This window comes from Homo sapiens, chromosome 19 (assembly GCF_000001405.40).
Source record: "Homo sapiens chromosome 19, GRCh38.p14 Primary Assembly".
Taxonomy (NCBI): domain Eukaryota; kingdom Metazoa; phylum Chordata; class Mammalia; order Primates; family Hominidae; genus Homo; species Homo sapiens.
Genome location: NC_000019.10, coordinates 6,812,436 through 6,829,955, shown reverse-complemented (window position 1 = coordinate 6,829,955; position 17,520 = coordinate 6,812,436). Strand labels below are relative to the sequence as shown.

Below are 17,520 nucleotides of genomic sequence, written 5' to 3'. Positions count from 1 at the left end.
CGTGGAGGACCCCATAGTTCCGGCGTCAAAGCCCCACCTTCTTGTTGTCTCGGTCTCCTGAAGAGTCATCCCGAACCTGGAAGCTGTGCAGGTTTACAAAGTCCTTGAGGTCATAGGAGTCTCCCCTGCGCTTACAGATGAGTAGAGCTTTGTCGAGCAGGAAGGCATACCTGGAAGGATGGATAACGCATTCCTGTCTGGCTCTTCCCAACTGTCCCCATCAGCCCTCTGACCAGTTCCTCCACATCCTGGTCCCACCCTGCCCTTCTCCTCCTCCTTGGCCAACTTGGCCATGCCCACCTGTCCATCCTGACTTCACCCACGTGATCCGCATTGGCCCTACTGCCTGTCAGTCTTCGCTCCACCCATACCCCTCGCTGGCCCTGTCCTGCCTGTCCATCAAGGCTCCACCGCCTTCTCTGGATGGGTCTACCACCTGTCTGTCTAGAAATCTTGCCTCACCCCCACTCAGGTCCCTCCCCAAATTCATCTTAATTCCACCTACAAGTCTACATAAGAACCTGGCCCCACCCCTACCCAGGCTCCACCCCAGATCTGTGTTGGCTCCACCCACCTGTCCATCTAGGAGCCTGGCCACGCCCCTATCCAGGCTCTTCCCCAGACCTATGTTGACTCCACCCAACTGCCTATCTAGAAACCTGGCCCCATCCCTACCCAGGCTCCACCACAGATATGGTTTGCTCCACTCACCTACCCATCTAGGAGCCTGGCCCCCACCTTGCCCAGGCTCCACCCAGATCTGTGTTGACTCCACCCACCTGCTCATCTAGGAGCCTGGCACCATCCCTGCCCAGGCTCCTCCCAGATCTGTGTTGACTCCACCCATCTGCCTATCTAGAAGCCTGGCTCTGCCCCTGCCCAGGCTCTGCTCCAGATCTATGTCGACTCCACCCACCTGTCCATCTAGAAGCCCGGCCCCGCCCCTGCCCAGGCTCCACCCAGATCTGTGTTGACTCCACCCACCTGCCCATCTAGGAGCCTGGTCCCACCCCTTTGCCCAGGCTCCATCCCAGATCCATGTTGACTCCACCCACCTGTCCATCTTGGAGCGCCGTTCCACCGAGGTGATCTTGAGTTCCCCGTCGATCTTGGGCCGGCCATAGTGAGCCAGAGACTGGTCCTATGCAGTAGGCAGGGGGTCTAGCAAGGGTCTCCCAAGAAAGGAGCCAGACACACACTCTCCCCACGTGGCCACACCCCTGGCCCACCCGGCTCCACCGCCTCACCAGGTTCTCAATGGACAGCTGGAAATTGGTGATCTGTCGCAGTGTCTCGTTGTCTCGCTTGACCTCGTTCACGCACTGAGCCAGGTCCTGGGGAGGGGGCAGGGGTGAACCTGGCCCCCCAACAGCCGACCCAGGCTCCTACCTAATCCCGGCTAGAGGATCAGCCCCTACCAGGAGGGTGTCTGCAGCAGGTGAGTCACCAGCACCCTACACCCACTCACCCTCATGGCATCCAGGGCCAGCCGCAGGTTCTCCTTCTCCATCGCCTCCTGCGTGTGTTTCACCAGCTCCTGAGAGAACCAAGACGTCAGACGTCACCTGGGCCCCTCCCCTTCTCCCTGCGGGGAGGGCCTTCCAAACAATGCTAGCTCACCAGCTCCTCCATCGTACTGCTGACCCTGGAGGCTGAGACATGACCCCAGTGACCCATCCCCGAGCGTCCTAGAGACCCAACCCCCAGAAGCCAGCCCCGTCCCCACTTTTATAGACACAGGAGAGTAGGTACGTGGAGCCCACGCCTAGAGATGTGCCTGGCACCTGGAGAAGGAGGTGATATTTGAGAACTCGCTGCATAGGCACCATCAGCAGGTCCCGCAGGGTGAACCTCCCGTTGTTGGCTCTCTGAGAACATTCCTGGGGAATCAGAGAACAATGGGGAAACTGAGGCAGGTCCCAGAAACAGCCAGTTGCAGGGTGGGTGCAGATAGATTTGAATAAATACGTGAGCAGCTCTCCACCCCAGAGCTGTGGGAATTTTTCTAGAGGCCAAAGCATCATATCTGCCCCCAAGGAAACAGGAAAAGGACTCCATGAGGTGGGGGCAGCTTGAGAACCACTGGAAGGAACTTTGGGAGGCCGAGGCGGGAGGATCACTTGAGGTCAGGAGTTCAAGACCAGCCTGGCCAACACGGGGAAACCCCGTCTCTGCTATGAAAAAAAAAAAAATAGCTGGCGTGGTGGCAGACTCCTGCAATCCCAGCTACTCAGGAGACTGAGGCAGGAGAATTGCTTGAACCCGGGAGGCAGAGATGGCATTGAGCTGAGATCACACCACTTCACTCCAACCTGGGTGACAGAGGGAGACTCCATCTCAAAAAACAAAGACAAACAAACAAACAAAAAAGCAATGGGAAGAGGCTGGGCACGATTGCTCAGGCCTGTAATCCTAGCTCTTTGAGAGGCTGAGTGGGTGAGTCGCTTGAGCCCAGGAGTTTGAGACCACCCTGGATAACATGGTGAAACCCCATCTCTGCAAAAAACACAAAAATTAGCCAGGAATGGTGGCATGCATCTGTAGTCCCAGCTACTCAGGAGGCCAAGGTAGGAGTTGGGAGGATTGCTTGAGTCCAGGAGGTCGAGGCTGTGGTGAGCTATGATCATGCCACTACACTCCAGCTTGGGGGACAGAATGAGACCCTGTCTCAAAAAAACAAAACAAAACAAAACAAACAAACAAACAAACCCACTGGAATGTGGCAAATGCTGCCTGGGATAGAGGTCCAGTATTCTGCCTGCTGAGGGGGGCTGGAGATGGGGAGGGGGACAGATCTGGAGAGCCCCCGTCCTCACCACCCCTGCCCTGTCTGTGTTTCCACCAGACAGATCCAGGTTGAAGTTCAGTTCAAGATCAAGTTCAGCCTGGGATCAGGGGTTGGTTGGAATTGGGGTTCAGTGAGAAGTGGGAGCTCAGCCCGACTTGGGGTACAATCAGTGCTAGGGCTCAGCCCAGGGCTGGGGTTGAGTGTGAGATCAGAGCTCAGTTCAGGGTCAGGACTTCACCCTGATATCAGGGGTCAGCCCAGACCCAGGGCCAGCCCATTTCTGTTCTTCTCCATTTCCTCTGCTTGGCTGGCTAGTACCTCCCTCCCTAGTCCTTTGGTGGATCTCTGGCTGGGCTGCAGCAGAAAGTGGACCATCTGCAACTCAGTGTCCTCCCTGCTGCCCCCAGGGCCTGGGGAGGAGCGGGAGAGGCCCCCGAGAAGTGGCCCGGCGCCCACCTCCAGCTTCATCTGCACGTCCTCCCGGGCTGCGGCCACACGGTCCAGGTGTTTGCTGGCTGACTCCACCTGGCTGCAGTAGCGGCCATAGACGAGGAACCTACAGGGAGAAGACAGGCCACCAGGTAAAGGTGACTGGCATCAAGGTCGGGCAGAGGCTGGCGTCAGCCCTGGCCTTGCTCTTCCCCGCTGGAGAAGAAACCTGAGTCCCAGTTTCTCCATCTGTGAAATGGGCATAACAATAGCATCTCCCATGTGAGGCTATTGTAGCATTATCTCATTTAATGCTACAGTAATTTCACCACAGTACCTGGTATTGTCTCTGCCCAATGTTTATTTATTTTTATTTAATTTAATTAATTTATTTATTTTTGAGACGGGGTTTCACGCTTGTCTCCCAGGCTGGAGTACAGTGGTGTGATCTGGGCTCAGTGCAACCTCCATCTCCCGGGTTCAAGCGATTCTCCTGCTTCAGCCCCCCGAGTAGCTGGGATTACAGACACCTGCCACCATGCCTGGCTAATTTTTGTATTTTTAGTAGAGACGGGGTTTTGCCATGTTGGCCAGGCTGGTCTCGAACTCCTGACCTCAAGTGATCTGCCCTCCTCGGCCTCCCAAAGTGCTGGAATTACAGGCGTGAGCCACCACGCCTGGCCTGTTTTTATTTCTGAGACAGAGTCTTGCTCTGTTGCCTAGGCTGGAGTCCAGTGGCATGATCTTGACTCACTGCAACCTCCGCCTCCCGGGTTCAAGCAATTCTCCTGAGTAACTGGGATTACAGGTGCATGCCACCACGCCCAGCTAATTGTTTTTTGTATTTTTAGTTGTATTTTAGTTGTATTTTTAGGCGATGGAGACGGGGTTTCACCATATTGGCCAGCCTGGTCTTGAACTCCTCACCTTAAATGATCCACCCGCCTCAGCCTCCCAAAGTGCTGGGATTACAGGCATTAGCCACCACACCTGGCCAATGTTCCTTCATTTAACAAATACTTATTGAGCATCTACTATGTGCCAGGCCCTGTGTGCATCCGTATAGTCAACCCTCACCACCAGCCTAGGAGGCACATTCCTGTGGCCCACTGATGTACAGATGAGGAAGCAGAAGCACAGAGAGGTTAAGTGACTACCCAGTGCCACACAGCAGAGCTGGGAATTGAACCAGAGATGGGCAGCCCCTCGCCCATGAACACACAGCAAAAAGTCCTCCCCGTCCAGTGGTGTCTGAGGGTAAGGTCTCTCAGATGCCCAGCCTAGGCAAGACAGAGTGACCCCAGAGCTTCAGTCTGGCCAGCTGGGTCTCACCTCTCCTTGTATTTGATGAAGACCTGGTAGAGATTGGCTGCGCCAGGGGTGCCCAGGGCTTCCTTCATCTCCTTTAGGAAGTGAGTATGAACACGAAGCAGGTCCTACTCGGAGGGAAGGGTGAGGGCTGGGACCAGAGCCCAGGGCTCAGGGGGCCAGGAAGGAAAGGGTCATCCACCCGCCCCATGCCGCTCAACTCCCAACCCCCGTACTCCAGGGAGAGGTAGGGGCAGCAGGTTATCCGCACTAGACAGACCCAAGAGGGCTGGGGATCGGCCGGCTCACCTCAATGTTGATAAAGATGATCTCAATGTCTTGAGGTTTCAGGAACCGTTGCAGGGGCTTCAAGAAATGCTGCGGGGAAGGGAGAGAAAGATGACGGAAGATAAGATTCCCTCCTCCAGACCAGTCTCAGAGAGACAGGGGAAGGAGACAGAGAGAGGGAGATAAAGAGAGGCAGCGCGTCCACACAAAAACTTGTACAAGAATGTTCACAGTGAAATTATTCATAATAACCCAAAAGCGGAAACAACCAAAATGCTTATCAATGGGTAAATGGGTGTTTCAAATGTGGTCCGGCCAGGTGCGGTGGCTCACGCCTGCAATCCCAGCACTTTGGGAGCCTGAGGTGGGTGGATCACGAGGTCAGGAGTTCAAGACCAGCCTGGCCAAGATGGTGAAACCCCGTCTCTACTAAAACTACAAAAATAAGCTGGGCACGGTGGCAGATGCGTGTGATCCCAGCTACTCAGGAGGCTGAAGCAGGAGAATCACTTGAACCTGGATGGCAGAGGTTGCAGTGAGCTGAGATCACGCCACTGCACTCCAGCCTGGGTGACAGAGTGAGACTCTATCTCAAAAAAGAAAAAAAAAATGTGGTCCATCCATACAATGGAATATTATTCAGCCATGAAAAGGAATGAAGCTCTGACACAGGCTACAATGTGGATGAACCTTGAAAACACTACGCTCAGCAAAAGAAGCCAGACACATATAAACCACATAGTATGTGATGCCCTTTATATGAAATGTCCAGAAGAGGCCAATCCACAGAGACAGCGAGTAAGCTCGTGGTTGCCATGGACCGGGGGAAGATAAGAGATTGAAGGGGAACAGCTAAAGAGTTTGGGGTTTCTTTGGGAGATGATGAAAACGTTCTAAAATTAAGGCCGGGGTGGTGGCTCACACCCAAAATCCCAACACTTTGGGAGGCCAAGGCAGGAGGATCACTTGAGGCCAGGAGTAGGAGACCAGCCTGGGCAACATAGCAAGACCCCATATCTACAAAAAAAATTAAAGAATTAAGCAGGGTGTGGTGGCATGCACCCGTGGCCCCAGCTCCTCAGGAGGTTAAGGCAGGGGGATCACTTGAGCCCAGGAGTTCGAGGCTGCAGTGAACTATGATCGTGCCACTGCACTCCAGCCTGGATGGGAGAGTGAGACCACATTTCAAAACAAAACAAATCAAAAAAAAAGAAACAAAAAAAACCAAAACAAAACAAATGAAAATATTCCAAAATTAGACAGTGATGATGACTGCATAATCTTGTGTGTGCCAAAAACCATTGAACTGTATATTCTAAATGGGTGGATTACATGTATATTAATGAAATCTCAATAAAGCTATTTTTAAAAGAAATGGAGAGGTGAGGATACAGAAAAAGACTGAGCCTGGGATAAAGAGCTACAAAGGAGAGAATGACACACTGAGGAAGAAAGTAGCGAGAGGAGACCCAGAGGGAAAAAGAGACAGAGTGAGAGATAAAGAGAGAGACAGAGAGACAAGAGGAAGAGGCCCAGTGCAGCCTCACAAAGGGCTTGGATTACAGGAGGATTGCTTGAGCCCAGGAGTTTAAGACCAGCCTGGTTAACATAACAAAAAATATATATAAAATATATATTTGTATCTATTACATATCTTATACATACTTTATATATATATCTTTAAATAATGATATATATCTTTAAAAGATAGATATATAAGCCAGGCACAGTGGCTCATGCCTGCAATCCCAGCACTTTTGGAGGCCGAGGTGGGCAGATCACTTGAGGTCAGAGTTCGAGACCAGCCTGGCCAACATGGCAAAACCTCGTCTCTACTAAAAATACAAAAATTAGTCGAGCATGGTGGTGCATGCCTGTAATCCCAGCTACTTGGGAGGCTGAAGCAGAAGGATTGCTTGAGCCCGGTAGGCAGAGATTGTAGTAAAGCGAGAGCTTGCCATTGCCCTCTAGCCTGGGCAATGAGAGAGAAACCGTGTCTCAAAAAAAAAAAAGATAGATAGATAAAGATATATATCTTTTATGTATATAAGATATATAAAGGTATATATATCTACATATGGACATATATCTTGTATATTAAAAATATATATCTATATAAAAAGATATATACCTATATCAATATATCTACATTTTATATTTTATATATTTATATATTGTATATATTATTTACATATAGCTCTATATGAAAAACTATATATTTTATATCTTATAAATATCATATATCATGTTTATATTTTATACATATTATATGTTTATATTTTTATATATACTTTGTATATATTTATATATTTTCTATTTATGTATATGTTTAATATATTTATATATTTTTGATTTTGTATTTATTTTGTTTGTTTTTGGTTTTTTGACTGCTCCTGCAGGCAGTGTCCTATATTTTATATATATTTTTTAATATATATATACGTCAGACTCATATTTATATATACATATGTAAGTCAGAGAAACTCAGAGACGGAGACAGTCACAGAAAGGAAAAGCGATGGGAGCAGGAAATCCTCAGCTGCCCAGAGCGGCCGGACAGGTGGACGTGCACCTGCCGGCCCAGCTCCCGCGCATGCGCCCGGCAGGCGCTGGGTGGGAGGCGCCCACCTGCTGGATGGAGCCCAGCGTGTCAGTGTACTTCTCCTCCGTCTGCTGGATCTCCCGCAGGCAGCAGCAGCGCTTGTCATACTCTGTCATCTTGGGCTGAGAGCGAGGGGAGAGGCCGGTGTTGGGGGGCCTGGGGCTGCCCCCCGCCCACGCCCTCCCCAGGCCCGACCCTCCACGTCACGCACCGGCATGGACACGGGCTCCGAGCGCATGAGGTCCTCATAGATCTCGTCGCCTTCCGCCTCCTCATTCTCCACGCAGTCATACAGGTCCTCATCCTCCTCCACCGTGTCGCTGTGGGTTGTGAGGTCAGGGATCCCTTGGACCTCTCCCAGATCACAGCAGGGTCCCCGCAGACCCCAGCGCAGGGCTTTGTCCCCCCAAGACTCCAAGGGTGGGACCTCAGACTCCAAGGGCAGGCCATGTCCCTCCAAGCTCCAGGGCAGGGCCATGTCCCCCAAGACCCCAGGACAGTGCCATGTCCCCCAAGACCCCAGGGCAGGGCTGTGTCTCCCCAGACTCTCAGGCAAGGTTGTGTGCCCCAGACACCAGGGTATGACCTTATTTCCCGGAGGGCAAGGCCATGTCCCCCCACACCCTCCACCCCCAGGACGGTGCTCCAGTGAGCTGTGCGGCCACAGGCCTGAGCACTCACTCGATCTGGTCGGACAGGCCACTGTAGATGTCTTCATCACCTACACTCTCCTCCTCGGTGGGGAAGGGCCTGGGGGGTCAGGAGGGTGTGAGCCAGGGGCCTGGGGGCTGGGTAGAAGTGGGGCTTCAGGGAGGGGGAGGACTGGGGCTAAATGGCCCAAGGCCCAGGTGGTTACTCACATGATCCCCCTGTTCTGGGCGATCGGGGTCCAGGACAGAGCAGACAGGGTGTAGATGACCTGTGACGGGGCAGTGGCCACTCAGTGAGCCCCTTGTACACCCCCACGGCAGAACACAGCTTCCAGCTGCAAGGCTCTGTCTGAGGCGCTAGATCCCATGCCTCTTGGAAGCCTAATTCAGGATTTTCTCTACCTCCTATTCCCCATACCATCGTTCTCTCAAATGAGCCCCACCCTTTGCTCCTATCTTTCTTTCTTTCTTTTATATTTTAGTATTTTTTTTAACGGAGTCTCACTCTGTCACCCAGGCTGGAGTGCAGTGGCACCATCTCGGCTCACTACAACCTCCACCTCCCAGGTTCAAGCGATTCTCCTGCCTCAGCCTCCGGAGTAGCTGGGACTACAGGCGCCGGCCACCACACCCAGCTAATTTTTTGTATTTTTAGTAGAGACGGGGTTTCACTGTGTTAGCCAGGGTGGAATCGATCTCCTGACCTCGTGATCTGCCCACCTCAGCCTCCCAAAGTGCTGGGATTACAGGCATGAGCCACTGCGCCCGGCCCTCTATCTTTCTATTTAATCCTCATAGCCACTCAGAGAGGGCAGGATGATAATATTCCCATATTTCAGATGAGAAACGAGGGGCTCAGAGAGGCACAGCCACGTATCCAAGGTCACACAGCAAGTGTCAGAGCAGGAACTCAAACCCAGTTCCACATATCCCAAGCCAGTGCTATTTGCGTCTTGTATATGGCCTGGTCTGGCTTGTCTGCCTGTCCCCTGACAGTCCTTAGCTTGCCCAGTGTAGACGTCAATAGAAATTAACTGAAACTCAGTCTTTGGGCTTCAAGTGTGCAGCTCACCTTGCCAAAATCCTGCACATCGAAGAGGTCAAAGGCTTCGAAGAGCTCGCTCCGCTTGAGGCCGAACTTCTCACAGCAGGTGGACAGGAAGGTTCTAATGTTCTTAAGGCACAGGAACTGTGAGGAGACAGAGAAATGAGGGTGGGGCAGTACGAAAGGGCAGGGGAGAAACTGACCCCCAGGCCACCTAGCTTGGGGACTGGTGTGGAGGGGAAATGAAAGCACAGACCCTCTTCCATGAAATTGAATTATCTTCTGGTAAAGATTAAGTTGTGCCTGATCCAGATCTATGCTCTGAATGTTTTTATTGAGTTAAAATTCACAAAAGATAAAATTAATCACTAACGGTTAAACAAATGTGGTATATCCATACAATGGAATATTATTCAGCCATAAAAAGGAATGAAGCACTGATTCATACTACAATGTGGATGACCTGAAAAACATTTTGAACTACTCAGGAGGCGGAGATGAGTGGATCACTGAGCCCAGGAGTTCGAGCCTGCGGTGAGCTATGATGGCACCACTGCACTCCAGCCTGGGCAACAAAGCAAGACCCTGTCTCAAACAAACAAACAAAAAACCATGCCTCCTGCCTCCACCTCCCAGGTAGCTAGGACTTCAGTCATGTGTCGCAACACCCAGCTAATTTCTGTATTTTTTGTAGAGACGAGGTCTCGCTATGTTGCCCAGGCTGGTCTTGAATTCCTGGACTTGAGGAATCTGCCCACCTTGGCCTCCTAAAGTGCTGAGATTACAGGTGGGAGCCACCATGCCTGGCCATCCCTAAACTTTTTTATTTCATGAGCCAAAACATTCCTTTTCTTGTTTAAGTTACTTTAGATTTGGTTGCCATGGCCTGCAACCAAAAGATATTAACTAATGAAACAGCTGGGCACATGTAACATGGCCCCAGCTTTTGAGTATCTGGAAAAAGAAAAAGAAAGAAAGAAACCTTTGTATTCTTGCATTTGCCAAGTATTGGCTCATCCAACGTCCCAACAGGTTCAGCACTCTCTGAGGTTCCCCAGATCCTGAAGAATTCTAACCAGCCTTCCATCCACCAGCTTCCCACAGCTTGTAGGCTTGGCCTCTCCCACAACCCCCAACACTCTCCATGAAGTCAGTCTGGACCAAGAGTCCTAAAGCAGACTCGTCAGTAGAGTTGGTTAAAATCCATCTTCCAAAGCCACGTATTGCATGCATCTATTTATAGGAAATGTCCAGTACAGGCAAATCCACACAATGGAATATTACTCAGCCATAAAAAAGGAGCAAAATACTGTTCCACACTACAACATGGATGAACCTTAAAAACATGCTCAGTGAAAGAAGCAAATCACAAAATGCCATGTATTGTACAATTCTATTCATAGGAAATGTCCAAGATAGTTCTGAGACTAGAAGTCCAAGATCAAGGTGTCAGTAGGGTTGGTTTCTTCAAAACACAGGTCCCATTCTGTGATATGAAACAGCACATCACAAAGTGTTTTCACAGATCGCTCATTTCTAGTTTTTAGGACTGGATATTCATATGTTCCTATAAAGGCTCAATAGGTTCAGAAACATAACTTCTTAGATTTTATGAAAAGAGTGTTTTGAACTTGTTGAATCAAAACACAGGTTCCATTCTGTGATATAAAACAGCACATCACAAAGTGTTTTCATGGATAGCTTGTTTCTTTTCTTTCTTTTTTTTGAGGGGGATGGAGTCTCACTTTGTCCGCCAGGCTGGAGTGCAATGGTGCCATCTTAGCTCACTGCAACCTCCACCTCCCAGGTTCAAGCAATTCTCCTGTCTCAGCCTCCTGAGTAGCTGGGATTACAAGCACCCGCCATCACACCCAGCTTATTTTTGTATTTTTAGTAGAGATGAGGTTTCACCATGTTGGTCAGGCTGGTCTTGAACTCTTGACCTCAGGTGATCCACCCGCCTCGGCCTCCCAAAGTGCTGGGATTACAGGTGTGAGCCACCACGCCCGGCCAGTTTGTTTCTACTTTTTAGGACTAGATATTTGTAGGTTCCTCTAAGGGCTCATTTCAGTAGACAGCCACCTTCTCCCTGCACTGTGACGTGGTCTTGCCCTGCCTGCACCCTAGTTTACTCTTCTTATAAGGACATCAGTCACAGTGCATTAGGGCCCACACAGATGACCTCATTCTAACTGAACTACCTCTGTAAATACTCCATATCCAAATACTGCCACATTCTGAGGTACTAGGGGTTAAGACTTCAATGTATAAATTTTGGGGGGACACAGTTCAACCCATAGCACACAAGAAAGTGTATTCCAAGAAGAGAGAACAGTGCATGCAATGGTCCTGAGGCAGGATCTTGCCTAACATGTTGGAGGAACAGCAAGGAGGCCCATGTGGCTGGAGTTAGAGTGGGCGAGGAGGAAGAAGAGGGGAGGATAGGGAGGTGAACAAGACATTTATTGTGAGAAGATAAATTTCTGCTGTTTAAGCCTCCAAGCTCGTGGTACTTTGTTGTGGCACCCACGCAAACAAATACACCCTGATATCCAGAAGAAAGTTCCTTGCCAACGTCTTTGTCTTTCCTCAAAGGACACCTTCTCTGTGAGACCTCCTCTAGCCACCCTATTTAAAATCCCACTCCCAGGTTGACTTGAGCCCAGGAGTTCAAGACCAGCCTGGTCAACACAGGGAGACCCCATCTCCACAAAAAATAAAAAGTCAGCTGGGTGTGGTGGTGCACACCTGTAATCCCAGCACGTTGGGAGGTGGAAGTGAGAGAATCACTTGAGCCTAGGTGTTCAAAATCAGCCTGGGGCCACATAATGAGATCCCATTTCTACAAAAACAAATTTAAGGCTGGGCGTGGTGGCTCATGCCTGTAATCCCAGCACTTTGGGAGGCCGAGGCGGGCGGATCACGAGGTCAGGAGATCGAGACCATCCTGGCTAACACGGTGAAATCCCGTCTCTACTAAAAACACAAAAAATTAGCCAGGCAAGGTGGCGGGTGCCTGTAGTCCCAGCTACTCGGGAGGCTGAGAGAGGAGGATTGTTGGAGCCCAGGAGGTGGAGGCTGCGGTGAGCCACGACGGTGCCACTGCACTCCAGCCTGGGCAACAGAGCGAGACCCCATCTCAGAAAATAAATATATACATAAATTAATTAAAATTTCATAAAATCCCACACCCCTACTCCGGCGTTTTCTATCCCCTTAGTTTTGCTTCTCTTGTTGTGTTTATTGTTTATCTCACCCAAATAAAATGTCAGTTTGAAGAGGGGAGGGCCATCGTTCTGTTTCTTGAATGCCCAGCAACTATGATAGTACCTTATGTGTAGGAGGCCCCTGATATATGTTTGTTAACTAGATGGATGGAGGTGGGGCCTGGGAATCTGCATATTAACACTCTCCTCAGGTGATTCTGACATACTTGCCAACCCCTACTCTGTGCCCCTACCATAACAATATTTGCATTTTTTGGCTGGGTGCTATGACTCATCCCTGTAATCGCAGCACTTTGGAAGGCAGAGGCAGGCAGATTACTTGAGGTCAGGAGTTCAAAACCAGCCTGGGCAACATGGTGAAACCCCATTTCTACTAAAAATACCAAAAAAACAAACAAAAAAAATTAGCCAGGCATGGTGGCGGGCACCTGTAATCCCAGCTACTTGGGAGGCTGAGGCAGGAGAATTGCTTGAACCAGGAGGCGGAGGTTGCAGTGAGCTGAGATATCCCCACTGCACTCCAGCCTGGGCAACAAGAGTGAGATTCCATCTCAAAAGAAAAAAAAAATGCATTTCTTGGATGCCTACTACACATGGTTAGGCATTCAGATTAACTCCATTCTCATAACCACACTGTCAGTGTTTATACCCTTTTGAGATGGAGTCTTGCTCTGTCGCCCAGGCTGGAGGGCAGTGGCACCATCTCGGCTCACTGCAACTTCCACCTCCCAGGTTCAAGCGGTTCTCCCACCTCAGCCTCCCAAGTAGCTGGAACTACAGGAGTGTGCCACCACGTCCAGCTGATTTTTGTATTTTTTGCTAGAGATGGGGATTTCACCATGTTGTCCAGGCTGGTCTTGAACTGATCTCAAGTAATGCACCTGCCTCGGCCTCCCAAAGTGCTGGGATTACAGGCATGAGCCACCACACCCGTCTGTGTCTATTTTACCTACAAGAAAGCAGGCTTAGATCGGTGTGGGGATGCTGCTTGAGATTAACAGCAAGAGTAAGTTAGGGGAGGAGCTGCAATTAAACTCCGAGATGGTATGAATCTAGAACCCACGTTCTGTGTGTGTGTGTGTCTGTGTGTGCGTATGTGTCTGTGTGCGTGTGAGAGAGAGAGAGAGCGAGAGAGAGATGCTCTCACTCTGTTGTCCAGGCTGGAGTGCAGCGATGCAATCATAGCTCACTGCAGCCTTCACCTCCTGGGACCAAGCAATGCTCCCAGCTCAGCCTCCCAAGCAGCCAGGACAATGGATGTGTGCCACCACATCCAGCTAATTTTAAAAATGTTTTTGTAGCCGGGCATGGTGGCTCACACCTGTAATCCCAGCATTTTGGGAAGCCGAGGAGGGCAGATCATGAAGTCAGGAGATCGAGACCATCCTGATTAACACGGTGAAACCATGTCTCAACCAAAAACACAAAAAAATTAGCTGGGCGTGGTGGTGTGCGCCTGTAGTCCCAGCTACTCGGGAGGCTGAGGCAGGAGAATGGCGTGAACCCAGGAGGCGGAGCTTGCAGTGAGCCGAGATTGCGCCACTGCACTCCAGCCTGGGCGACAGAGCGAGACTCCGTCTCAAAAAAAAAAAAAAAAAAAATTTGTAGAGACAGAGAGTTTCATTATGTTGCCGAGGCTGGTCCTCAAGCAATCCTCCTGCCTCAGCCTCCCTAAATGTTGGTATTACGGGTGGGAGCCACAACTCCCAGCTGAGCCCACTTTCTTGACCACAGCCTTTTCTCTTTACCTTGTGTGTAGTGGAAGCTAGCATGAGCTTCCACCCACCATGCTCTCAATTTTCAGCATGCTGCAGAGATAACATGGACTCCTCCCAGCAACTCTTCAAGGTAAGTCATATTATTATCCTCATTTTACAGAGAAGGAAACTGAGGTGAGACACACAGCCGGGATACAAACTCAGGCAGCATGACTTCCAAGCCTGTGCGTAACCATTATGCCATAGCTGTGTGTGTGAATTCATTTGGCACTTAATGTCTGTTGTAACCCTGTTTCTCACACTTCCATTTGCAGAATGTATCATCTTCTCAATTGCTGCCACAGTCTATGCAACCCATTGCATATGGAACATGAACTTTAACTCTTTTGTGTTTAAGAAGAGAGCTTTACATCCTCCTACAAAACTAAGCTCACGGGCTACAAACAGAAACAACTGTATGATGGGTGTGATGGCTCATACCTGTAATCCCAGCACTTTGGGAAACCAAGGCGAGAGGATCACTTTGAGGTCAGGGGTTTGGGACCAGCCTGAGCAACACGGAGAGACACTGTCTCTGCAAAAAATACAAAAATTAGCCTGGTGTGATGGCCAGTAGTCCCAGCTACTTGGGAGGCTGAGGCAGGAGGATCACTTGAGGCCAGGAGGTAGAGGCTGCAGTGAGCTATGATCGCACCACTGCACTCCGGCCCAGGCAACACAATGAGACCCTGTCTCAAAATAAATAAATAAATAAATAAAAGAAGAAGCAACTGTAGAATAAATATGGTTCAAACAACGTTACTAAATTCTAGGTAGATTCTGTTGCTCGCCCAAGGCTCTGACCCAAGACCTGTTCTCTTTTTGTCAAAAAGAGAAATCTGCAACAGAAGACACATGAAAGATGCGGTAGCAACTCAACATTCATTCCTGATCAAAAGAAAGAGGGGGAAAAAAATCTCTTGGCAAAGTAAAAATGGAAGGGAACTTCTGTAACCTGATAAAGAAGGTCTTCAGAAAACCTAGACCGAAACACTGTACTTAATAATGAGATGTTGAAAAGATTCCCTTTGAAATCAGAACTACGCAACGGAACCTGCTATCACCATTTCTATTCAACATTGTATTGAAGATCTCAGCCTGTACTGCAAGACAAGACAGAGGGAAAAAGGAAAGAAAGAAAGAAAGAAAGAAAGAAAGAAAGAAAGAAAGAAAGAAAGAAAGAAAGAAAGGAAGGAAGGAAGGAAGGAAGGAAGGAAGGAAGGAGAGAAAGAAAAGAAAGAAAGAAAGAAAGTCATTTTTGCAGAAGAAGCAATCATCAACATAGAAATTCCCAAAGAATATATAGATAAATAGCTGAAATTAATAAAATTATTTGGCAGTGTGGCTGAATACAAAACCAGTATACAAAGTGTACTAAGTGTCAGTACATAAGCAAAAATAACTCACAAATTAAAAAAAAAATTGTGAAATCCTACAGTAAGCAAAACTAACCTATGATGATAGAAATCAAATCAGTGGTTGCTTCCGGAGCAAGAGGGAAGGTAGAGATTGACTCAGAGAGGCCACAAGTGATGGAAATGTTCTGTTTTGATAAGGGTGTGGATTGCACAAGTGTCCACAGTTGCTAGAACTGATTGAATGATAAAATGAAGAATTTAGCTTTTCACATAGGGAAATCAGACTTTGATTTTAAAAGGATACTATTGACCATAGCCTAGAAGATGTGAAACAAAACTGCATAAAGCTAGTGACCTAAACAAAATAGAATATATACCAGTTCCTTTCTAGCAAGACTCAGTGTTTTGTTTTATTTTATTTATTCATTCATTGATTTATTTTTAGAGACAGGGTATCACTCTGTCACCCAGGCCGGAGTGGAGTGGCACGATCATAGTTCACTGTAACCTTGACCTCTTGGGCTCAAAAGATCCTCCTGCGTCAGTCTCCCAAGTAGCTGGGACTACAAGCATATGCCATCATACCTGGCTAATTTTTTTTTAAAGATTTTTTATAGAGACAGGATGTCACTATGTCACACAGGCTGGTCTTCAACTCCTGGCCTCAAGTGACTCTCCCACCACAGGCTCTCAAAGTGCTGAGATTACAGGTATGAGCCACCGCACCCAGCCCCAAGACTCAAGTTTTAAAATCTTCAATTCTCTCCAAAATTGAGCTATAGATTTAATCCAATTTCAATTAAAAACCCCAGAATGGCTTTTCATTGAACTTGACATACAAATCCTAAGATTTGTATAGAAAACCTCAGCCATGAGTAGCCAATATACTCCTACAGAGGGAAAATAAAGGGTATGAGTCCTACCAAATATTAAGACACCATAAATCTACAGTAATTAAGACAATGTGTTTGTAGTAGCCAGCCTCCAGGATGGCCCCCAATGGTCCATAGCTCCTAGTATTCATACATAAGTTAAGATGCCTTTTTGTAATCCCCTCCCACATTGAACCAAGACTGGCCATGTGTCACTAAAAGAACAGGGTGGAAGAAACAAGATGTGAGTTCTCAAGACTAAATAATGAAACATATCGAAGCTCCATTTTGGTCTCTTGGACCACTCACCGGCGACCATGTTGTGAGGCCACTCAATCAGTCCTGTGGGGAGCCCCAGGTGGAGAGGAGCTGAAGCTCTATGTGGCCCAGCCACTCAGGAAGTAGACCCTCCAGCTAAGGCCTTTAGATGACTGCAGCCCCAGCCGACATCTGTGTGCAACCTCATTAGAAACCCTAAAGGGGAACTGCCTAGATGAGCTATTTCAGAATTCTTGACCCAAATAATCCATAAGCATAATAAATGGTTGTTTTATACAATTAAGTTTGGGGATAATTTGTTACTTAGCAATAAATAGGTAACAAGGATAAAGGCAAATGAACCAACATGAAGGGTTTATGCCTACTGTGTCATGTTGTTGTAATTCAGTTATATGATGCATAAAAAGGGCTGGACGTTTCAAGTTCTGGAAATTATCATTATCATTATGATAGTAATATCATCATCACCACCATCACCATTCTCCTCATCACCATTCTTATCATCATCATCATCATCATCATTATCACCACCATCACCATCATCGTTACCATTATAATCATCACCACCATCATTACCACAATAGTATTCATGACCATGAGCATCACCACCATCATCATCTTAGCTCCAGCTGGGAAACCAAGAGCATTCACCAACCCATCAATTTTTGTATTTTGGGTTGTCTTTGTTTCTGTTTTTGTTTTGAGATAGAGTCTCCCTCTGTCATCCAGGCTGGAGTGCAGTGGCGTGATCTTGGCTCACTGCAACCTCCACCTCCCAGGTTCAAGTGCCTCAGCCTCTCGAACAGCTGGGATTACAGGCGCCCACCACCATGCCCTGCTAATTTTTGTATTTTCTTTTTAGTAGAGACAGGGTTTCACCATGTTGGCCAGGCTGGTCTTGAACTCCTTACCTCAAG

At 48.6% G+C, this 17,520-nt stretch overlaps 1 protein-coding gene across 4 annotated transcripts in view; it reads right to left on the bottom strand.

Moving 5' to 3' along the window:
- VAV1 (vav guanine nucleotide exchange factor 1) overlaps positions 1 to 17,520 on the bottom strand; it is an 84,654-nt gene that overhangs the window by 27,406 nt on the left and 39,728 nt on the right. For 3 of the 4 annotated variants that reach the window (NM_005428.4, XM_005259642.2, NM_001258206.2), the window contains exons 2-14: positions 9,138 to 9,254; positions 8,276 to 8,334; positions 8,097 to 8,165; positions 7,627 to 7,735; positions 7,442 to 7,537; positions 4,835 to 4,903; positions 4,550 to 4,653; positions 3,245 to 3,344; positions 1,785 to 1,880; positions 1,469 to 1,537; positions 1,248 to 1,334; positions 1,056 to 1,141; positions 38 to 170 (exon numbers count right to left, since the gene is read on the bottom strand). In NM_005428.4, the coding sequence (NP_005419.2) occupies positions 38 to 170; positions 1,056 to 1,141; positions 1,248 to 1,334; positions 1,469 to 1,537; positions 1,785 to 1,880; positions 3,245 to 3,344; positions 4,550 to 4,653; positions 4,835 to 4,903; positions 7,442 to 7,537; positions 7,627 to 7,735; positions 8,097 to 8,165; positions 8,276 to 8,334; positions 9,138 to 9,254 (1,194 nt within the window). The remainder of the gene's footprint in view (positions 1 to 37; positions 171 to 1,055; positions 1,142 to 1,247; positions 1,335 to 1,468; positions 1,538 to 1,784; positions 1,881 to 3,244; positions 3,345 to 4,549; positions 4,654 to 4,834; positions 4,904 to 7,441; positions 7,538 to 7,626; positions 7,736 to 8,096; positions 8,166 to 8,275; positions 8,335 to 9,137; positions 9,255 to 17,520) is intronic. The other variant, NM_001258207.2, reaches the window with a different exon arrangement.